The 24,541-nt window shown below is 35.2% G+C and overlaps 1 protein-coding gene across 24 annotated transcripts in view; it reads left to right on the top strand.

Moving 5' to 3' along the window:
* Positions 1 to 24,541, top strand: part of WDPCP (WD repeat containing planar cell polarity effector) — a 721,268-nt gene that overhangs the window by 459,970 nt on the left and 236,757 nt on the right. For 21 of the 24 annotated variants that reach the window (NR_148705.2, NR_148704.2, NR_122106.2 and 18 more), the window contains one exon: positions 2,348 to 2,471. Coding sequence is in view for 19 of the 24 variants with exons in the window: in XM_047444629.1 (XP_047300585.1) it covers positions 2,348 to 2,471 (124 nt within the window). In the remaining 5 variants the exon portion in view is untranslated. Of the gene's footprint in view, positions 1 to 2,347; positions 2,472 to 11,398; positions 13,436 to 20,780; positions 21,164 to 24,541 lie in introns of those variants that run through there. The other 3 variants (NM_001354045.2, XM_011532890.4, XM_047444634.1) reach the window with 3 other exon arrangements.

Here is a 24,541-nt window from a genome sequence, read left to right as displayed (position 1 = left end):
GAAGTCTGTATCGTGGGTCTTGGCCCAAGTCACACGTGGCCCACAATACATATTTATTTAATGTTAATTAAATGTTCTTTTTGGAGGTAGTCAAAATTTATCTCGGGAAATTCCGATATTTTTCTTTTTTTATTTAGAGACAGTCTCACTCTGTTGCTCAGGCTGGCATGCAGTGGCATGATCTCTTCTCACTGCAATGCCTGCCTCCCAGGTTCAAGCGATTCTCCTGCCTTAGCCTCCTGAGTAGCTGGGATTACAGATGTGCACCACACACCCAGCTAATTTTTCTATTTTTAGTAGAGGGATTTCACTATGTTGCCCAGGTTGGCCTCAAGTGATCTGCCTGCCTAAGCCTCCCAAAGTGCTGGGATTACAGGCGTGAGCCCGTACTGCGCCTGGCCAAGAAATTCCAGTATTTTTACAATGAGAAAATGCCTAGTGCATGGCCCACTACTTCGGTACTCAATGAGTATTAGTTAAAAATAAAAAGAAGAGTATAACTCCATAATTTTTAGGGTACAAGGTACTACTATAATATTGCTGCCTGCAGTTATCTTAACTAATTATTTCTTAGTATTGATATACTGTAATGACTGAGTGTATACTTAAAAAAAAAATGAAAGAAAAAATTTTAAAAAGCAGGGTCCCTAAAGAATGCTTATGTTATACACAATTTATATAAGAGATCATAAATTTACAGTTAAAGAAGAAATATGAAAAAGATAAAATATTGACCCTCAGCACACTGAAAAATTGCTAGCACCTTAGTGAATTTGTCTTGTAAGATTACTGTGTTATAGGAAAGATTATTAGGGAATACACAAATGGGCATTATCAGATTCTTGCCTTAATAAAGTATATTTTCAAGGAACCATATTGGGGAGATAGGGAAATAAAAAGCTTGTATGATACTAGGCTATTAAAATAAAATTTTTGCATGATGCTGGGTTATCAGAATATGTACATTTTAAGTAGGTGTGTGCGTTTTCCTCCAAGTAACTACAAAACATATTTCTAAAACATTCACAATTTTTTTTCTCTCTTGAGACTTATTCTATCTGAATCTAACAAATTTGACGTGGTAATTTGTTTTCCTTTTATTAGTGGAACCCAGTGAGCTCTTTTATTTGTAGCCGTATTGTAGTTATCTTTGAGATCTTCATTTCTGCCTTAAACATCAAGCTGGGCTATCTAATGAATCTACAGCTGTGCTGGGAGTTATGAGTATTCCATGTAGGTTCGAATATTTCAGATGTACGAAACATGCTGTCAAGAAAACAAGCAATGGCAAGAGAATCTGGCTTGTTTTCACAATAGCATTGCTGTATTCAATTGTAATCTAAATTGACTGCTGCTTTGAAAGAAAATACCCCTAAAGTTCATCTTACTTTACTGTCTAGATTTGAGATTAAAAAAAGAAATTACTAACAGCTTAGCCAAGTCCATAGTAATTACTCTGATGAGGTATTTAATACTTTCAAACCCAAATATGCCTAAAACTAAAGAGTTTTGCTAAATAAGGAATTGTTTATTCAACTCAGTGCTAGTAGCATAAAAATCAGAGAAGTCTTACTGTGAACTGTAGTGTTCTCGTACATACTCTTACTCTCACCATTATGGTAATTACTTAACTTCCAGGTATTTCTGGGAAAAAACCTAGTCCCATGAGCATGTCTTGGTAAAATTCTGAAACAGGCAAAATGTGCCCTTTCCCCCAGTCTTAGCCCTCTAGTTTATCAAAACCTGCCTCTCCAGTCCTTGTTTCCTCTCCCAGAGGTCTTAGTTTTCACACTTGGATAAAACCAAGACTTTTGCTGTTTAGGGCAGGACTTAGGGAAGATATAGGGACTTTCACGGTTGTCTTAAAATTGCAATAGAGATATATTTCTACTCCAATATGCCTGTTTATTTGTATTATTTTAAAGAACATTTCTGCTATATCGATTTCAGTTCCCAATGAAGAAAGGTCAGTTTTCTCCTTTTAGCCAAAGACAGTAAATGTTTAGCACACTGTGAGTTGATTTTACTGGAAGTACTAGTTCAAACTGTGTTACTTTGATGAGTCACTGTTTTAATTACCCATTTGTGGTGAGAGGTTGGTTCATTATGGATTTCTTCAGTTTTGACAGCTTTTTGTTGCTCAGAGTCATTGTCAGCTTTGCCTCAAGTGAAAGTTTATACACAGGTTTGTTTTTGTACCAGCTGTCATATTTTAATTTTATCTTTCCTGCAACAAGTTCATGTTTCATCCAAGTCTGCAAAACCTGACTGACTGCAAACATGAGTATTTTGTTGTAATTGAAGGAGTTTTCACTTGTTTTAGTGCTGCTATGTTTGAATTCCACAGCACAGCTTGAGACAAGCCTTGGAACCTTCTATGCTCCAACAAGACCACTTCTGGATTCCACTATATTGGAATATAGAGATCAAATCAGCAAATATGCAAGGAGATTCTTCCATCACTTGCTCAGGTGAATGATATGTTTGGATTGATTAGCGTCAGACTAATTACTTATTTCAGGAGACATCCTCTTTAATTAAAATATTCCATAGTAAGGCTATGTGTTTCCTAACAGTCCATCTCCTCAAAGAAATATACATCTTCTTTTGGTCTTATTTAATTTGTTATTGTTTTCATTTTAAGGAAATATTTGAATATTATTTGGGGGTTTTATATAACCAATACTTTTTAATATACCTTCCTCTTTAATATGAAAGCTATGTAAAGTCAATGTAGAAATATTAACTGAATTGTGCTACTCGCACTAAGTAAATATTTTCTTTTTAATTGAAGCTAATGATGTGAATGTTCTGTAAAGCTCTGAGACAGTCATTAGTTTGTTTTTCTTTAAGAATTACTGTAGAAAAACTTGTCCATTGTCTGCTTATATAATGTGGCAAGTTTCTAGCTTCACCATACCCCATTTTCTCTGCTTTAAATGGGTATAATAAATTTTGTTAACCTAGAAAATATGTGAAAAATAATGTCAAGAGATTTCTCTAAGAAAAGTATTGCAGAAGTTAAAGGAAAAATACAATAGCATGTATATATATATATATATACATGAAGTTCAGAAAGCAGGATTAATGGATGGAAAGAAGGAAGATGAATGCATGGATAATTTAGGGATACATATATAAATGTGGCAGTACTATAAGTAAAAGCAAGCAAAAAAATTAGCACACAATTTAGAGCAGTCTGGAGTGAATGAAAAGAAATATGATAAAATAAGCATATAATAGCCTCTAAGGTATTAGTAATGTTCTGTTTCTTAAGATGAGTGGTAAATATCAGGGTATAGTAAATTATTAAATAAATTATTAAATTATTAAAAATAAAAAATTATTTTTAAACTGTGTATATATACACATACATATACATATGTATGTCTGTGTATGTTTGCATATATGTATACATATATGTATAGTATTCTTTTATATATGACATGTTATACAATGGAAAGTAACAGAATTTTCAACTGTGTACCAAAAAGGAGGATTACATCAAGGAGTTGATTTTAGACTTTTAATTTTACTAATAATATAATCTGTTATAGTGCTTTTCACTCTTTCAAGGGCTTTGATGTATATTCTCTTATTTTTTTCTCAGAAACTCCTGTTAAAGTAGTAGTATCATTTGACAAGTGAGTAAACTGAGGCATAGATAAGTGGCTTGCTTAGATCAAATAACAAGTTATTGGTGGTGTCACATCTTTGAACTGATTTTGATTCCCTGTTCCTTACTCTTCCCTTAAAACCATTTATCTATTATTGATTGTATATTTTTTAGATCCTAGCTTATAAAATACCTGGAAATTTTTATTCACTTAAGAGTAGACTGTTTGGTAACTATTTTTAACTGCCAAAAAGAAGGGGGAAACTTCAGATTGGTCAAGATTTGAGAATTTGTGTTGTTGTGTAGATATTCATGTTCTATCATTAGATTTTTATATATAAAGTGGCATTTTGAAGTCTACCAAGCAGTGAAGCCTCTGGAAAACAGCAATTTTAGAAGCTGAGAAACATTAAAATATTGCAAGGGTTATGATATGTAATTGAATCTTGCCTTTTCATCTGAATGACATTAGCATATTCCAGGACTCTTCATATAAATGAGGCTGTCTTCTATGAATGAACACATGGTAAAAGTGCTGGGGTTAATGTCACATTTATTTGGACTTAGAGCTTTGTTCTTTGCTCTTATTGCTAATATTTGTTTCTCTGTTTCTGGGGAAAATTAATGAATTCTCCTCCTGCCTAAAGAGCCCAAAAAGGTGAAAGTGAATGAAACAGAAGTTTTGGAAGCCTATTCTTTGTGTCCTCATTGTCTCTGGCCTCTGAGATTTTATGCAGTGATTTAGTTTTCACATAAGCATCATATTTGTAACCATCCTGCTGGCTCTAGGATGCTCTATTCTACTAATGTGAATTTTTTGTTCATTGGTTTTTCTCAAATGGTTTTCTAATTATTTTTTGGACATACTTTGATAAGGTCACTATTATTGTTATCAAAATTATTATTCTCCAGCTTTTCTATGTGGTTACATCTGGAACTGGATGTTTTCCCTTGGGGCATACTAGCTTTTTCATGTTTCTTCTTTTGCATACTTTGCTACTGTTTCAATTATAATGAGTGTTTTATTAGTTCTTCTTTTGATAGTAGGCTATACAGTATTATGAAAAAAGAAACAAAAGTTTTGAAGAAATTAAATGAGATAGCTTAAGTTGGAACCATTCTTTTGTTTAATGTGCTACCAAGAAGTTCTCATGCTCAGGGGAAGAGAAACAGGCCAAATACCTTTTTGTATTTGTGAAGTGCTAGAATTACATTACTCCCTGTCCTTTGGCTAGTCAATATTTTAATACTCTGAAAAAAGAAACCATATTAGACAATGGAATATCCCTAAACAGTAAAGACCATCATAGGGAATTTTAAATTAAAGATGAGGAAAAGTTGCCCCACAGAGATTAGGGGTGTGCCTAAAATTACTCACATGGAACTCAGATTGCCTGAATTTGGATTGGATTATTTTGATAAAGAGTAAAATATTACATTGATTTTAATTTCATCTAGCATATGAAGGGTAAGGTCATAGTATGAATTTGTGATAATAGACAAGTATACCATGTAGATTATTAAAATAAATGTTTTATATACAATTTTATTTTTGTCTTGAGAGGAGAGGAATTCTATAGACATTGCTTTACACTTTTTGGTCTTTTTTGTCTTTAACAAATATAAAAAATTATCTGAAAGCCTTTTTCCAAATCCAAACAAATCTAAACTTTAAAATTCACTTCTCATCTTTTTGTATGCATTCAAAGTGATCAATTTTCATAAAGAAATGCTCCCTAGAAATGTAAATTAAGCTCCTAACGTTAAAGATAGGAAAACAGTAGAAGCACAGTCTTGATATGGTAGCTAATAAAGTATTTATTATAATAAAATTTTAAAGAGATGATAGAATCTAATTTATAAAATCATTAAACTGGAAGACACTTACCTACAGAAGGTAAATGCAACTTTGCCTAAACTAAGTTTAAAAGGTAATTAGTCAGCTGCCTCCATGAAATTGAATAGTCTTCCACAAGTACTGAACAGGGAAATGATGGCAAATGAGAGCTTTTCATCATAAACAAATAGAAACTATAGTAGGAACCCCTAAATATTGATGAAATGAAAGGGCAAACATTTCAAATGAATGTGCCACATATGAAGCTTATTACTAACATGGAAATATAATGTATTATAAAGAGTTAATAATTTATTTTTAACTTTTCCCCCTTCTTAACTGTGAGACTGTTGTTTTCTGACTCAAATAGTGTTATGTGATTGTGGCACAGAGAGTTGTGCTTTTTAAATGCTTATAAAAATATTAAGCAAAACTTGGGGAATTTGAGATTTATTGCCTAGAAATAAAATTTTTTGGTTATGAAATATTGGTGGGGTAATGTATTGATGTCTGCATTTTCCTTTGTAATGTAACAACAAAAAGTAATATGAATTGATGGATAAACAGAGAGATAGGTAAATATGTGATAAGCAATATTGTAAAACGATAAAGTCAGAATACATGTGGTAGATAATCTTTTAACTTTGCTCTATGTTGGAAATTTTTACAGTAAGATGTTGCGGATAATATACTGGAGTCAATATTTACACTTAGAATTCAGAAAAAAAGGGCAGTCTTTTGGAAATGGCTTTTAGCTTATGTAAAATATATATGATAGGCAAAACAAAAATCATTTTGTGACTAAAACAGTTCTTAAGCAATTCCATGTATACATGGCTTTTTCAGTTATACTTTTCGCTGATAGAGCATATATAGTAAATACAACATTTGTATGAAATCATTTTAAAGAACATGAATACTAAAAAAGTTAACCTAAGAACATTCAAGGCAACAAGATAGAATGATTTTTAGAGAAAATCTCCTGGTCAGATCATCCAAAAATGCTAGATAATATATTCAAAATATTTATTGAAAGCATGGTTGAGCTGGCAGTAAAGTAAGGGAAACAGGCTGAAATGATAAGGATGCTTGATTCCACAAGAGTAAGCAAACTCAACGTTCTCCTGGAGGGCATCCTCTGGCTCACAGTAAGATAGGTGCTTGGTTTACAAAGGTTGTGTACTCAGAGGATAGGAGACATAACTGAGAGCTCATGCAGAATGGGAGGTTGTATCAGACATCCATATATAAATCTAGAACCCTTGAATGGGACAGCATACTTCCTGAGAGAACTGGAATGAAGGAAGTCATGAGATGCAGAAAGGAATGGTAGACAAAAAAAAAAAAAAAATCATAAACTTGTGGAAACCTAAACAAAAATTGATCATATAAAGCATATACACTAATGTCTAATTCAGGGGGTTAAAAATTAAAATAAAATCTTGGACAATAACAACATATAAATCAGAAGAGGAGTGAAGAGAGTTAAAGCATTCTAAGGTCCTTATACTTTTCAAGAGGAAGATAAAGATATTCATTCTAGATTTTAGTAAGTGAAATACAGAATTTCTAGGGTAATCACTAAAAGGAAAGAAATAGAGTATATAATTTTCAAGGAAGGAGAGGGAAAATGTTGGATAAAGAAAAAAAATTAACCCCAAAGATGGCAAGAATTAGGGGTAAGTGGAGCATGCAGGGGAAGAAACATGGGAAAAAAGATGGAAAATAGAAAACACACAATGAGATACTAGCAATGAATCAAAAACTCAATAATCATTGTTAATGTAAAACAGATTTTTTTCCTCAGTTTTTTTTTTTTTTTTAAAGACATCTAAAACAGAGAAGGTGGCTGGGTGCTTTGGCTCACACCTGTAATCCCAGCATTTATGGGAGGCCAAGGCAGGAGAATCGCTTCAGCCCAGGAATTTGAGACCAGCACAAGCAACACAGTGAGACCCCGTCTCTACAAAACGTTTTTTAAAAAATTAGCCGGGCGCATGGTGGCACACGCCTGTAGTCCCAGCTACTTGGAAGGCTGGGATGGGAGGATTGCTTGAGCCTGGGTGTTCAAGTCTGCAGTGAGCCTTGTTCCTGCAATTGCACTGGGCGACAGAGCAAGACCGTATGTCATTTAAAAGAAAAAAAAAAACAACAAAAAAATGAAAACAAAGAAAATTTAAATGTCAGAGAATATAAAAAAGTTTATACCAGATAAATACTCCAAAGAGGGCTAATATAGTAGTAATGGGTTTTTTTGTTTTTGGTTTGTTTGTTTGTTTTGATATGGCGTTTCACTCTTGTTGCCCAGGCTGGAGTGCAATGGAGTTATCTTGGCTCACCGCAACCTCCGCCTCCCAGGTTCAAGCGATTCTCCTGCCTCATCCTCCGAGGTAGCTAGGATTACAGGAATGCGCCACCATGCCCGGCTAATTTTGTATTTTTAGTAGAGATGGGGTTTCTCCATGTTGGTCAGGCTGGTCTCAAACTCCCAACCTCAGGTGATTCACCCGCCTCGGCCTCCCAAAGTGCTGGGATTATAGAAGTGAGCTACCGTGCCCAGCCTATATTGGTAATGTAATACAAATAGTCTTTAAAGCAAAATCATTAGTAGAGATTACTAGAGATCAATATTGACAGAAAAATCAATTCTCTGGGAAGATAAAACAATTCTAAATGTGTGTAACATAGCTTCAGTGTACACAAAAGTCCACTGTCAATAGTTAAAGAATTTTAACTCCTTTCATTTAGTAATTGATAGATTAAGCAAACAAAGTGTCAGGAAATAGGAGATTTGAACAATACTGTATAATTGAAATCTTGATTTAATGGACATGTGTAGAGTCCAACAAGTGGAGACTATACTTTTTTCCCATGAATAAACATTTATATAAATTGACCATATTCTAGGTAATAAAATTCATGAAAATGTCAAGGAGTAATTTTTATTTACTCCACAATTAATTACTGAGTACTACATGCCAAGCACTTAGCTAGGAATATGGCAAAGGGCAAAACAGACCAAAAAAACAGAAGTTTGTATATTTGCCCCTGCCTAAATCTCATGTTGAAATGTAATCCCCAGTGTTGGAGGTGGGGCTTGGTAGGAGGTATTTGGATCATGGGGGTGGATTATTTATGGCTTGATGCTCCCTGTGATAGTGAGTTTACAAGGACAGCACCAAACCATAAGGCATCCACCCTCATGACCCAAATGACCATATTTGGTTGGTTAAACATTGGTGGCTCTCCCTCCTCTTGCTCCAGTTCTTGCCATGTGAGATGCTGGCTCCCCCTTTGCCTTCCGCCATGAGTGAAAGCTTTCTGAGACCTCACCAGAAGCCAAGCAATTGCTAGCACCATGCTACCTGTATAGGCTACAGAACCATGAGCCAATTAAACCTCTTTTCTTTATAAATTTCCCAGTGTCAGGTATTTCTTTATAGCAATGCAAGAATGGCCTAATACAATAAATAAGTGGGTAAAATACATAATATGTCAGGTAATGATACATGCCATGAAAGAGAACATGCAGGGACAGGGCTAGGAAGTATTAGATGATGGGTGAGTAGACTGCAGTTTTAAATAAGATTGCCAGATTTCTTAAATTTTAATCCTTAGGTAAATTCTCTTGTTCTCCCTCATTCATCTCATCCTAGCCTTAGCCTTGGCCCTGGCCCTGGAAAATACAAATTGTTATGAAAAAGGTTTTTTTGGAGGAGTGGAGGCTTGTTTTACAAAATAAAGAATCATACTATTAAAAAAAAAAGATTGTCAGGGAAGGCCTCACTAAAAAGGCAAAATATTAGTTAAATCCCAGCAGTTTGGCTGGAGCAGTGAATGAGAAGGAGAGGAATGAGACAATGGGTCAGAGAGGCAGCAAGTGGCCAGGTCATACAGGACTTTGTAGATTATTGTAAGGAATTGAGAGTATTCTCTTGAATAATAGGGGAACTCAATAGATGATTTGAAACTACCTAGTGAATGGATAACTCAGATCCTGTGTTGAGAATTGTCCTTAGAAGGTCAAGGAGAAGGAGACCCATTGGGAGGCTATTGCAGTAATTGAGTAAGCGATGGTGGCCAGTTACAGATTGGTAGCAAAGGGAATGAAGATAGAGTGGTGGATTTTGAACATATTAAAGGTTCTGACAACAGGATTTTCTAACAGATTGGACAAAGAATATAATAGAGAAGTCAAGCATGACTTCAAGTGTTTTGACCTGAGCAATTGGAAAAACAAAATTGTTACTGACAAGATTGATAAGACTCCAGAAAGAACAGGTATGTGGGAAAAGACCAGGAGTTTGGTTTTGGAAATGTTGAGTTTGAGTGAGAAATTCAGAAGTGAGTTCTGAGACAGGGCTATGAAGGGAAATATATATATTTAAAATGTTTTTCTTGGAAAAGAAGAAAGACTCAAAATTTATGAGCCACGAAATTTTTAAAACTTGCAAAAAATATCAGTAAAATAAATCTGAAGAAAGAAGGAAGGAAGTTTAAAAATAAATGTAACAAAAACCAAAATTATAAAATAGGATTAATAAAGCTAAACATTTCTTCTTTGACAAGATTAGTCAAACAGAAAAAAAAGCAAAGGGAATACAATGAACAATTTATGACAACAAACATGAAAAATGGGGAAAACTGAAAATTTCTTAGGTAAATAAAAACCAAAACTGACTAAAAAAGAAATAGAAGATTTAAATAGTCCTATACACATGAAAGAAAATGGTAATTAATGTTTCTCCTATAAAGTAAACTACAGTCCCAAGATGTTTTTTGCAAGTGAGGTTCCATTGCTATATTCGCACAATTCTTTTCTATGTTGTTTTTTTTTAGTCCTTTTTATCAAATGCATTTTTTACATAGTTGTAATCATTGAATACATGAAATTTTAACATCTTTAAAAAATTCTAAGAAGTTTGATCCATTATGATGACATTCCAAGAGACTTGTACTCTTTGGTATGGTAGTTGGATTTAAAGGTTGTTTAAGCCTAGAGTGGTCTGCACACATCTGAACAGACCCTTGGTTAGGGAAAGGATGAAAAGGCAAAAGGAGAAATAAGCAGGAGGGAACAATAGCAAAACCTCAAGTCTTTTAACTGGAAGAACCTAGAAAAATGTGATTTTATAGATGAAGTAGCTGGTTTTTATGTGGGCACAGTTAGGGCCATTTAGGAAGGAATACCATGGGTATAAGGGCTCTTTAGATTCCTGCCAAGGGATGAGGGTTCCTTTACCATAATGGCAATTTGAAGAAAAGTTGTTATACTAATCAGTAAATTAAGATACCAAACAAAATTGACATAATATAGGTATAAATAACTCGATGGTCATTATATGAACAAATTTTGTATACCTTGCTTTTCTTCCTTAAAGCCCCTTTCATAGCTAATTGGGTGTGTGAGTGAGGGGTGTCGCCCAAAGCATCCATGCTGTTTTTCATCTGGCAGTCTGGTTTCCTTTAACAGCATTGCCTCCTAAATATAGCAATAGCAGTAAAAGAAGTCCTTATATTTTGCTTATGTTGTTCGTATTCTAAATTATGAATGGTATTTTGTCTAAAAATCAAATGGGTAAAAACTGCAGTGTTAAAAAGGGAATATCATGATTATGTAAGAAGCTACCCTAATACCCACTCTGTTCCATTTGCATTGCTGTGATAACCTTAACAACTCTTTTTTTCTGTTGTGAGAGAAATAGACTGGATTCATTGTACAGATAGAGGTAAGAGTGGGGATAGTCTGCTTATTAGGCGTGACATTGAACAAATGAATCTTAAGACTTTTCTTCACCCTAGACATTAGTTATTTTTTTCATTTGGGATGTACAAAATGTGTTTTCTGCCCAAATTCTAGTTGAGGTATCTGTTTGGAATTGTTTATTACTCTCATTTTCTTTTGCTTGTAACTCCTCGCTGTCTTCTCTGGTACTTTTATTCAGTGAGTGAGGACCTGGGTAGAGGACCACTTTTATAAGAGAGTGAACTGCATCTGCAGACCCACCATACTCCTGATCAAGACAGTTGTTGACCTCAAACTCCAGACTGTCCCCTGCTGATGACCTCATCATGCTTCTTGTCAGCAAGCTTGGCTCTCTTTAGTTTGGCAAGGATTAAAAGACATACAGTGCCTATATTCACTGTATTAAGTAACTGGCCTTTAAGGACATTTGATTATAGTACCAGCAGAAATTAGTATGTACTGGAGATGGCTATAGACACTTCTGTTACAAAGCTACAGTTGTATTAAAGCTGTGGGATGAGGACAGCCTTTACCAACATGGTCAAAATCAAAGATTTTTTTTTTTCTACTATGTAGTGAAGGGCATACATAGTATGTGCAAACTGCAGCTATTAAGAGAGATATGATGATTTTTGGCTGTTTACATTCATGAATACTTTATAAAATCCAGGAAAAATTTTGTTAGATATTCTACTCTATTGAAGTCTGAAAAGAAACATGCAGAGAAAATATAATCAAGAATTTATTTGGCAGATTTATAACATCTGCAGAGCTCAGAGCTCAAGGAAAGACCATAACACATAAAATATGAACATCAATAAATGTTCAGAATGTGTCACTGGATGTGAAATATATTTGTATTTCCTTTGTGTTTAATACAATGTAGACACAACCTTAATAATCCTTTACACTTTTATTACATATTTAAACTTAACAGAACTTGCCAGGTGTATGCCTGTAGTTCCAGCTACTTGGGAGGCTGAGGCAAGAGGATTGCTTGAGTCCTTTTTTTTTTTTTAATTAAATAAAATTGGCTGGGCGTGGTGGCTCACGCCTATAATCCCAGCACTTTGAGAGGCCAAGGTGAGTGGATCACCTGAGGTCGGGAATTCAAGACCAGCCCGGCCAACATGGTAAAACCCTGTCTCTACTAAAAATACAAAAATTAGCCAGGCATGGTGGCATGAGCCTGTAATCCCAGCTACTCAGGAGGTTGAGGCAGGAGAATCACTTGAACCTGGGAGGTGGAGGCTGCAGTGAGCCGATATTGTGCCACTGCACTCCAGCCTGGGCGACAGAGCGAGACACTGTCTCAAAAATAAATAAATAAATAAATAAATAAATAAATAAATAAATAAATTAAAAATAAACTTAGTAGAACTCAAAAAACTATTGACAGGTGATGTAATCTTTTTCTCCTTCTAGTAAGTTAAGTGCTCTCAAGCATCTGTCTCCTAGAGGAGACAAGGATAAGTACAACTCATTTCTTTTGAATTCTCCCTCTTTCCTTTTCCTTCCCCACAGATATGCATGTGTAACTAAAAAAGTATTCAGCTTGCTGTAGATTCTGGTCCTTATTCTCTATCTCATTACATTTTATTGAAAAAGGTATTTGAGTTTTGTCAATACCTGGAAACTGAGGGTCATCTGTCTAAATCTGAGGTAACAAATATTAGCTTTCCTCAAAGATCACATTGTTTGTGGGCCTCAGCAGTGTTGAATTAGTTGAAAAAAATACATCACTTTTGTGAAATCTTTAATGAACACTTTGATCACATGTGGTTATTGCTGTGGAAGGATATGTATTTGTCTTTTGGTTCATAGGTTTAATAAATAAAAATTGTTTAAAACTAAAGCCCTCCCATTAATTCAAGTTTTCCTGATCCATAGACTGCCCAGCCACTATAGTTCTTTGGAACACTTATGTTTTTTCTAAAGCAAAAATAACTTTCTGATTACAGGAGTAACACATGATTTTTTTGCAAGACATAAATATTATGGCCTTCTATTTATGTTAATAAACATAGATCTATATCACACATTTATTAAGGATAGACTACCATAATTTATTCAACTATCCTGCTATATATAGACATGAACAATTTCCAGTGTCTTGCTACTATAAACAGTGCTGCAATAAACGTTGTATTTGTGTGTGTATAAAACATTCACACATCACACATATCTCTGTACATTTATCTGATTATTTCCTGAAAATAAATTTCTATAAATGGAATTACTGAGTCAGAAGTGTGTATACATTTTAAGGAATCTTGATATGTATTGTCATATATTCCTGTCACTATTTTTTTGTGAAATTTACTTACTACACCCACAGTTGAAATAATCAGTATTTTTAAGTGTTGACAGTTAAACAGATGAAATTTGGCATCTTGTTGTTTTAATTGTTTTAATGTATGAGATTCTTACTTTTTTATTGGTCTTTAAGTAATTATAAGCTTTATTTTTAGAGTAGCCTTAGGTCACAGTAAAATTAAACAGAAAGAACAGAGAATTCCCATATACTCCCTGTTACCACCTGCTTTAATTTTTTTTTTACAAATGATGATTGCATATATTTCATATATATAAATGAATATATATATTCATATAAATATATGGATTGAATGACTACTATTTAATGTGTGCTAGTGAAAGGTAAGGGCTTTATAAACATGATCACATTTAAACCTCACATTCTACTATGTAACCATATATAATTCCTATTTTATAGATGAGTACACAGATTAAATAACTTGCTCAATAACCACAATGTGTGATAGACTAGAATTAGAACTTCAGTCCATGTGTGTGATGTGTGTATGTTTTATGTGACCTCAAAGTCTACACCTTTCACCTTCATACTATGAAATAAACCACTTCAGGATACAAGGAGTTTTCTTCTAGAGGTATTTGATAAGAAGGGAGATACATACTGATGTAGAGGGCAGTATGGTATAGAGTATAACAACATGAAAGTTTGAATATGAGGACATTCTTAATATTTCTTAGCTTCAGTTTCTTAATTTGTAAGTAAGGACAATCATGGTACCTGTCACACTGGGATGTTGTGAGAATTAATATGATAATCCATGTAACAAGAATTTAAGCGAAAGTCTGGAAGATAGATAGATAATAAGGGCACAATGAGTGCTAACTATTATTGATGACAGTGTTGTAGAGATACACAAATTAGATAAAGGTAGACTAAATGATCTTTAGAACAGCATTTCTCAACCTTTTTTTCATTATTGCCTCTCAAAGGAGGAAAAATATACTTAAATTAATTTTAAATTAAGTGATTTTAATTTCTAACAAGATCAATTAAATGCTAAGGAATAAGACTTTTCATGTAGGGTTGGGCTTTGGAGGGACAGAAATCATTGTTATTAGCTAAGAGTTTTTTCATTCCTTAAAGACCAACTTTTGCTCCCTTGAAGGTGATGCTGCCCTTCATTGACAATATATATTTTGAAACAAAATGCCTCCTTTTGAAAATTAAACAGAACCCCACATATCAAACTAGTAAGAGAGTCATCCTGGATTTGGGAGAATTAGTGGAGGTATGTGAGATTTCCTCGTACTTTTAAGGTTCTTTCCAACATGAGATTCTATGATCCTATTTATCAGGCACCTTTGAGTAGACAAGTCAAGTCTCAGTTCCCTAAGCTAACCTCCTGTCTAGTGGGTTCAAAATTTTCCAAGTTCTCATTGAACAGTTAAGGAATATCTGTAATAAGTCATGAAGAATGACACACAAATAGTTTAGGGTTAAATAAATTTACAACAGTGTTTATCTGAGACATCCAATAATATTTACAACCATAGCTTGGCTACATGCTACTAAATGAACTTATATTTTTTACAATGAAACTTAGTTCTGCGAGTGGTAAGGTAAATGGGACCATGTGATGTCAGTTGAGGATGCTGCTCCACATTGAGCCATTGTGGCAGTTGTCTAATGTCTGCATAGGGCCATTTTCTCTTACTTTGGGCTGAGCGAACCTGTAGCGAGGAGCTTTCAAAAAATATTGGTGCTCTGATTAGTCTTACCATTAGGAAAAAAGAAGGGCTACCCCAAAAATGCCAGTCCTAAGAGATCAAAGATTATGGTTTTAGGTCCTAGTCTACTCCTAATCTGCTGTAAGAATGGGAATTTAATTTTTTTTGTAGTTCTCACTTTTCTTAACTTTGTCATGGAAAGAACACCTACCATGCATACTTCTAGGGTAGTTATTGAGCTCAAATGAAATATTTGAAAGTTCTTAGCAAAAGGTAACTGAATATTATTACGATTTTTGTTATAGCTGTAGTAAATTCCTGCCATTCTTTGGGGTTACATACAGCAGAATAGTCTTCTGAATCCCTTTAGTAGAGCATAGCACTGGTTAGAATCCTGGTGCTGAAGAGACCTTGCTAGGTCAGCACATTACCTACATTGACTTATTCTTCCACATGGGCCATGTGGTGCTGAGTTCAAATTTGTGCTAGTTGGCTATTAATATAATCCTTACAACAACACTATTTAAGTCCACCCATTCCAAGTCAGTACATGGCCGGGACCTTTACTTTGACTGCAGTTGCCAAAGTTGATTGTATAAAACAGGAGTCAGCAAATTACAACCTGCCTCTCATCTTTGTAAATACAGTTCTTTTGGAACACAGCCAAGCCCATTTGTTTGCATATTGCCAATGGCTGCTTTCATACTATAATGGCAGGGTTTACTTGTGATAGGGTTCATATATCCCTCAAAGTGTATTACTGTTTGGCCCTTTACATAAAAAGTTTGCCAACTCATTATAAACTAAACAGCAAGAGATAATTTTTTGGAGCATGCAGTCTGAATATGAAAGGAAAGAGAAGGAAGATGTAAGAAGAGTTCCATTTGTAATATTGTGTTAATTTCTTCATAAGTAAGAGGTTATTGAAAATATTGAAATGACTTCATAGGTCCTAGCACTCTGTTGAGAGTTTTATTGTGAGAATGGATTAAGAGGTAATTTTGACATACAAAACACTACAGACATGGACCAACCTAGGTGTGCTATCACAGTGGTGGGTTTGGGTCCACATATAATAGCACTGAGCTATGTGTCTTGGGGAAGAGGTAGGACAGGTGACAGGCAGGGAATAAAGACAAACAACCGTGAAAATCAAGACAGACTTGAGATAATCACAGTGAATGCACATGAAAGACAGATTAAGGCAATTAGAAATATGTATTTGATATAGAAGACAGATGATTCAGCATTAAACTAATAGGAACAGAAGATGTACTCAAAGATATAATTCAATAAAAAGTCTCTGAAAAGAAAAAAGAATCTAGAAGTGTGACCCGAGAATATTATACTCGGTTGAGATTTTTGTCACATTTAGAGGCAACAGGCAAATATTCTCAATCATGTAAGTCTTCAGAGAATAATAGCATCTGTGAGTCCTTCGTGAAAAAACTGCTTAACGATGAATGTAAATAGAAGACTTATCAGAAATGGAGAATCTGAATGAAAAAACAAAGAATCATGGTGTTGAGCAATCCACTTATGAGTAACTAATGCTAAACAACCATAGATATTATGATTAGAAAAGAAATTGAGTATTTTTTTTTAAAGACAGGGACTTGCTGTGTTGCCGGAGGTGGAGTGCAGTTGCTATTCACAGGCATGATCATAGTGCATGTCTGCCTTGAACTCCTGGCCTCAGGCAATCCTCCTTGCTCTGCCTCCAGAGCAGCTGGGACTAAGGCACAGGACACTGTGCCTGGCAAAAATTGGGTATTATCTTGGTTAATGTAAAAATACAACTATATGATAAAAAGTGGAATTTGGAGGAAAGAGAAATGGAGAAAATATCAGAGTTATCACTTTCAAAACAAAGAGTCCAGAATACTGTTTAAAAGTCATTAAGTAGTTAAAAAAATATATTCTTCCTAATCTCCTAACTTTAGAGGGATCTTATAGAAAATAAAATATGGTCAGGAAATACGTATTTGAAGGTTAATAATTCCTATAAAATTTCGCTTTTCTTTTTTAAGTAAAATTAAATTTAATACTCTATATATTTTTTGAGACAGGGTCTCTGTTGCCCACTCTGGAGTGCAGTGGCCTGTTCATGACTCACTGCAGCCTCAACCTCTCAGGCTCAATCAGTCGTCCCACCTTAGCCTCCCGAGTAGCTGGGACTATAGGCTCACCCCATCACACTTGGCTAATTTTTAAATTTTTTGTAGAGATAGGGTTTCACCATGTTGCCCAGGCTGGTCTCAAACTCCTGGCTCAAGCATTCTGCCTAACTCTGCCTCCCAAAGTGCTGGGATTACAGGTGTGATCCATTGCGCCCAGCCATAATATTCTTTATTAACAATAGGACGTATAACATAAACCTATTAACATAGAAGAATCCCTTCGTATCCTTCCATCTGCAAGATATGGAGGGTGATGCATATCTAATATGAACCATGTTAATTTCTGGGTATTGCAAAGTGGAAGTGATATATATTTCCATCTTTGTGCTTCTTGTATTGTTTGAATTATTTTTTATGAACATAGATACATTTTACAAAAACAAGAATAATTATTTTGTCCATATTAAAAAAAAATCTAAATAAGTGGAAGTATATATATCCAGATGTGAACAGTGGTAATTAAGTTGTTCTTTGTATTTTCTTATTTTCAAAATTTTTAAGTTTTTAAATTACAAATGAATAATAGTACTAAAATTGTACTTGAACTATAATCTTAAGGACTTTCATGTTATAGGGAAACTGAAGCAGAAAGTATGCCTAAGAGTAACCTAGTTTGTAAATAAAACATTTTATCATACTTGTTAAGAAAACTGATTTTTAGCAGGGTATGGTAGTTCCAGCTACTTAGGGGGCTGAAGTAGGAGGATCACTTGACCCTAGGAGTTTGAGGCTGCAGTGAGCTATGATTGCACCACTGCACTCCAGCCTGGGTGACAGAGTGAGACCCCATCTCTTAAGAAAAGAAAATTGATTTAATTTATAGAAGCAAAAATTTTCATGTTCATGTAAAGTAAATTAATTTCTGAGAGAGCCAGCTCATTTTTCAAATCTATGGGAACACCTTAGAGATTTCATACATCAGGCTCACTCAGACCACAGGGGACAAGCAGAGCTAAGAAGACCAGTATTATTAACATAATTTGTTCTCCTGGCAGTACTGGGTACTATTCATAGTCTTGGTGACTACAGTATTAATAAACACCACTGATGACCCAAATAATAATAACAAATTTTCTAGTCACTCTGAGCAGAATATTGTTTTACTTTCTATTTCCAGATAATCTGCCTCTTTCCCTCCCTCTCTCTTCCCCTCCCCTCACCCACTTCCTTTCTACACACACACACACACACACACACAACCAAAAAAAAAAAAAAAAGGGATTCTACCGATTTTACCAGGATATGCATGTAACAATACCTCATTAAAGAGGAAAAAATTGGGTTGCAAAAAATAGTTAGATGGAAAAAATAAGTTCTGTTATTCAATAGTACAGTAAGGAAATTATAGTCAACAGTAACTTGTATATTTCAAAATAATTAATAGCTAGAAGAGAAGTGAAACATTCCCAACACAAAGAAAAGATAAATGAGGTGATGGATATCCCAATTACCCTAATTTGATCCTTACACATTGTACACAGGTGTCAAAATATCACATGTACCTCCAAAATAGATGCAACTATGATATATCAATTTTTAAAAAGTGGGAAAAAAGGAAAAGCTCAAAACCTTCCTCCTCAACCCCAAATTTTTAGGTGAAGCTTCTATGCCCTGAGATACCGTGAATCTTGGAGCTTGGATGCCTCACCCCTCCCGCTCTGAGAAGCACAGCTTTAACCTTTGTCAGCCTTGTCCTCACTGCTCCTCTCTCTTTTCACCTCTTCACTTGCACTGTTTGCAAAAACCAAATAAAGAAAACAACAACAACAACAAACAAATGAAAGAATCAGGCTAGTGCTTGGAGCAGGTCATGTGCTACCAACATAAAATTAAGTAGGGAGAGTTTTCTACCCTAAATGGTGACACATGTGCATAGTTTAGATGGCACTAGACTTAACTGGCTTTATTTCCATGTTCCCTATGTTATTCTTGCTTTCCTCATAATCTTCTACAAATTTTTCTTTAGATTTTGCAAACATCATTAACTCAATAAATACTTGTTTACTATATGCCTTGCACTATGCCAAGAGTGAAGAATAGGCTCAAAAGTCTACTTTTTTGTAGCTATTGAGGCTGTAACCCCATGCTTGGTGTAATTTAGGATTAGTGGCCAGTGATCAGTATCAGAATATTCCAATTTATACATGTATTATCTCAGTAGCTATTTTGGCCACAATAATACACTGTTTAGTCTTGATTTCTTGTTTGATCCACTCTGTAAATGTTTCTGAATATTCTCATCTAGTCCCTCCCCATCTTAATCAATTTTATGCATTTTATTTCCAGTGACTCACAGTTACTTTTAAAGAACTTTAATCTGTTCTAACTACATGTGCTAGGTGATTAAGGTCACTATGAATTCTGACCTGGTCCTTCTCCTTTCTTCCATCTTATCTTGTCACGAAAACACTCTACTAAGATCTGCGGCTGGAAGACGGACATGCATTTAGTTAATTTCCCAAGTTCCTGTTCTTATAGTTAAAATTATTCAGACACTGCATCCAGATAACTGACATTTATCATTAGAACATATTTCATTCTTAAATTAGAGCCGTGACTTAGGGCTGCCTGCATTGACTCTGTGTAGTCATCCTGATAGTTTTGCTCAGTAAAACATGGCTTTTCTGTTAAGTTTGAATGATCATCACAGTGAAAGACCTGCAGCTGGAATGGAAGAAAAGCTGCAGAAAATTATTGAAATAAAAGATGGGATTTGGACCACTGGGGCTTGAGCAAAAGAAGTGTGAAACAACAGGTGCCATGGGATGTTATCTACGTTTTTAAATTAACATCTGTTTTTAGCTGAAAGCAATTTGCAGAGAATGCACCACGTGCCTTTATTCAGAGCTAAACACTGACTACTGAGACGCCGCTAAGTAGTAAGGGTTTAGTAAAATATAAAGATTTTCCTTGGGAGGAAAGAATAATGGAGATTATTCACTGGATATAGATGTCTAAGAGAAATCTCTGTTAAACCTATGTTTGGCATAAGGTATGGTAGCAGTTTAAGAATTTTTTCATTTGGGAAAATTGAAAGAATCTAGAGAATTGAAAAAAAATAAAAACCAACAAGGGTTTCTGGAAGGGAGTCAAAGTAGTCTTCTTGATTAGCTTTTGTCAGATAGCGAAATATGTACTAGTTGAGACTAACTGTGCAATATTGGTGCTTAAGTTTCTCTGCATAACCACTGCATAACTGCAATTATAACAAGACACAGACTTCCATTATTCAGCCTAAAATCGAATTCAAAGCTAAGGTTTGGTTTGGTTTGTACTGTTTGGAGGAAAAATGATTCTTAGAAATGTTTTAATAGATACTTCTTTTTCACACATATATAAAGCTGCTAGTCTGACTCTCCTAAGAAATGTTATTTTATAAAGTACAATTTTTTTTTTTAGATGGAGTCTTGCCTTGTCGCCCAGGCTGGAGTGCAGTGATGTGATCGCGGTTCATTGCCACCTCCATCTCCTGGGTTCAAGCGATTCTTCTGCCTCAGCCTCCCGAGTAGCTGGGACCACTGGCATGTGCCACCACACCCAGCTAATTTTTGTTGTTTTTAGTAGAGATGGGATTTCACCATGTTGGCCAGGCTGGTCTTGAACTCCTTACCTTGTGATCCACCCGCCTCAGCCTCCCAAAGTGCTGGGATTACAGGCATAAGCCACCGTGCCCGGCCATAAAGTACAATTTTTAAAAATCATGGAATTCACTTCTCAGGGGGTATTTTGGTTGTGGCCAGTTTGGGGCTATTACAAATAAAACTTCCATGAACATTCATGTACAGGTTTTTGTATGGATGTGATTTCATTTCTCTGGAATAAATGCCTAAGAGAGTGATTGCTAAGTCTGGTGCTAGGCCATGTATGGTTAGTTCTATAGGAAACTGCCATACTGTTTTCCAGAATGTCTGTGTCATTTTGCATTCCCACCAACAATGTGTGAGAGATCTGGTTTCTCCTAGCATTGCCATTTTTTATTTTAGCTATTATAATAGATATGTAATGATACCTCATTGGGGTTTTCATTTGCATTTTCCTGATGGCTAATGATATTGAACATCTTTTCATGTACTTATGTTCTATCTTTATGCTCTCTAGTGAAATATCTTTTCATGTCCGTTGCCTATTTTCTAACTGAATTGTTTGAACATATGCTTCTAAAAAAGTTTATGGATTTTTCCTTGGAAATGCAAGGTTGCACGTCTTAAGCATGAGAGAAATATTGCAAGACAATTTGATGATATTATAGATGTTTAAATGTAGATGTCGGAACTAGAATGTTGTGATTGGATTATGGTAAGACTCAAATATTGGCAAAGTAGTATTGAGATACGAACATACAAGGGAGGGAGAAGGAAAAAGAAGGGAAGGGAATGAGGGAAAGTGGAAAGAGGAAGGAAGGGAGGGAAGGAAAGAGAGAGTGCAAGGACAGGGAGAAGAGATAGGTATACATAGAAATAAGAAAGCGGATAAGTAAGGGAGAGAGTGGATCCAGGGAAGAAAATGAAATATGTCAAGTCTAAGTATAACCTAGGAACAAGGGCTTTTGTCAGGGACTAGAAAGTATTTATGGGACTAATGGGCAGTGAGACTGGGTAGTCTGTATAGAAATTTTGGGGATTTAAAAAATGAGTTATAATCTGTGATAGTGGAAAAGAATTTGACTTCCTTTAAATTGCATCTATGCTGACCGTTAGTGGTAGAGTTAAGAGAGCATTGGAGGCCATCCTGGTGGCTCACACCTGTAATCCCAGAACTTTGGAAGCCTAGGTGGGAAGATTGCTTGAGGCAACTAGTTCAAGACCAGCTGATGCAACAAAGTGAGACCCCATCTCTACAAAAAATAAAATAATTAGCCAGGTGTGATGGTGCACACCTGTAGTCCCAGCTGCTCATGAGGCTGAGGTGGGAGGGTTGCTTGAGTATGAGGCTGCAGTGAGCTGTGACTGCACCTGCACTGCAACTTGGGTAACAGAGCAAGACCCTGTCTCTACCAAAGAGTAAGAGATCTTTGACAAGCTACTTATCTATATACTGGGAAATCAAATCATCTGAATCTCCTGTATTTCTGGAGTGTTGTATCCAATAAGACAATTACTAGAAAACATTTTTAAATCTGTAAGGTGTTCTGTAAATAAAAGCTGTGAGTGCTAGTTAAAAAAAAAACAGGAATATAGTAACAGGACTGAAATATTATAAGAATGCAAATACAACCATGATTTTTTTTTCTTTTTTAAAAAACTTTTAGGTTCAGAGATACATGTGAAGGTTTGTTACATACATAAACATGTGTCATGATGGTTGTTGTACAGATTATTTCATTACCCAGGTATTAAGCCTAGTACTGAATAATTAGCTTTTCTACTCCTCTCCTTCCTCCCACCTCCACCCTCAAGTAGACCCCAGTTCATATGTTTGTATCATTTAGCTCCCACTTATAAGTGAGAACATGCAGTATTTGATTTTCTGTTACTATGTTAGTTTGCTAAGGATAATAGCCTCCAGCTCCATCCATGTCACTGCAAAAGACATGACCTCGTTCTTTTTTATGGCTGCATAGTATTCCATGGTGTATATGTACCACATTTTCTTTATCCAGTCTGTAACTGATTGGCATTTAGGTTGATTCTATGTCTTTGCTGCTATGAATAGTGCTGCAATGAACATTTGCATGCATGTGTCTTTATGGTAGAATGACTTATATTCCTCTGAGTATATACCCAGTAATGAGATTGCTGGGTCAAATGGTAGTTCTCCTTTTAGCTCTTGGAGGAATCGCCAAACTGCTTTCCACAGTGGTTGACTAAATTAACACTCCTGCCCCCAGTGTATAAGCATTCTCTTTTCTCCGCAACCTTGCCAGCATCTGTTGTTTCTTGACTTTTTAATAATAGCCATTCTGACTGTGAGATGGTATCTCATTGTGCTTTTGATTTCCATTTCTCTAATCAGTGATACTGAGCTTTTTTTCATATGCTTCTTGGCTGCATGTATGTCTTCTTTTGAGGAGTGTCTGTTCATGTCCTTTGCCCACTTTTTAATGGAGTTGTTTTTCTCTTGTAAATTTAAGTTCCTTATAGATGCTGGATGTTAGACCTTTGTCAGATGCATAGTTTGCAAATATTTTCTCCTATTGTGTAAGTTGTCTGTTTACTCTGTTGGTTTCTTTAGCTGTACAGAGGCTCTTAAGTTTAATTAGATCCTACTTGTCAATTTTTGCTTTTGTTGCAGTTGCTTTTGGTGTCTTTGTCATGAAATCTTTGCCTGTTCTTATGTCTAGAATGGTATTGCCTAGGTTGTCTTCCATGGTTTTTATAGTTTTAGGTTTTACATTTAAGTCTTTAATCCATCTTGAGTTGATTTTTGTATGATGTAAAGAAGACCTCCAGCTTCAATCTTCTGCATATGGCTAGCCAGTTATCCCAGCACCATTTATTGAATAGATACTCTCTTCCCCATTGCTTATATTTGTCCTTTGTTGGAGGTTAGATGGTTGTGGATGTGTGGCCTTATTTCTGGTCTCTCTCTTCTGTTTCACTGGCCTATGTGTCTGTTTTTATACCAGTAGCACGCTGTTTTAGTTACTATAGCCCTGTAGTATACTTTGAAGTAGGATAACATGATGTCTCTAGCTTTGTTCTTTTTGCTTAGGGTTGCCTTTCAGTGTGGACATTTAGTGCTATGAAATTCCTTCCTAACACTGCCTTAGCTATGTCCCAGAGATTCTGTTATGCTGTATCTTTGTTCTTATTATTTTCAAAGAACTTATGGATTTCTGCCTTAATTTCATTGTTTATCCAAAAGTCATTCAGGAGCATATTTTTTAATTTCCATGTAATTGCATGGTTTTGAGCGATATTCATAATTTTGACTTCTATTTTTATTGTGCTGTGGTCCAGGAGTGTGTTTGGTATGCTTTCAGTTTTTTTACATTTTTTGAGGATTATGTTCAATTATGTGGTTGATTTTAGAATATGTGCCACATGGCAATGAAAAGAATGTATATTCTGTTGTTTTGGGGTGGAGAGTTCTTTAAAGGTCTATCACATCCATTTGGTTCAATGCTGAGTTCAGGTCCTGAATATCTTTGTTAATTTTCTGCCTTGATGATCTGTCTAATACTGTTAGTGGAGTGTTGAAGTGTCCCACTATTATTGTGT

This window comes from Homo sapiens, chromosome 2 (assembly GCF_000001405.40).
Source record: "Homo sapiens chromosome 2, GRCh38.p14 Primary Assembly".
In the NCBI taxonomy this organism is placed as follows: Eukaryota; Metazoa; Chordata; class Mammalia; order Primates; family Hominidae; genus Homo; species Homo sapiens.
Note: the sequence above shows the minus strand (reverse complement) of the source record. Positions and strands in the feature narration are given on the sequence as shown.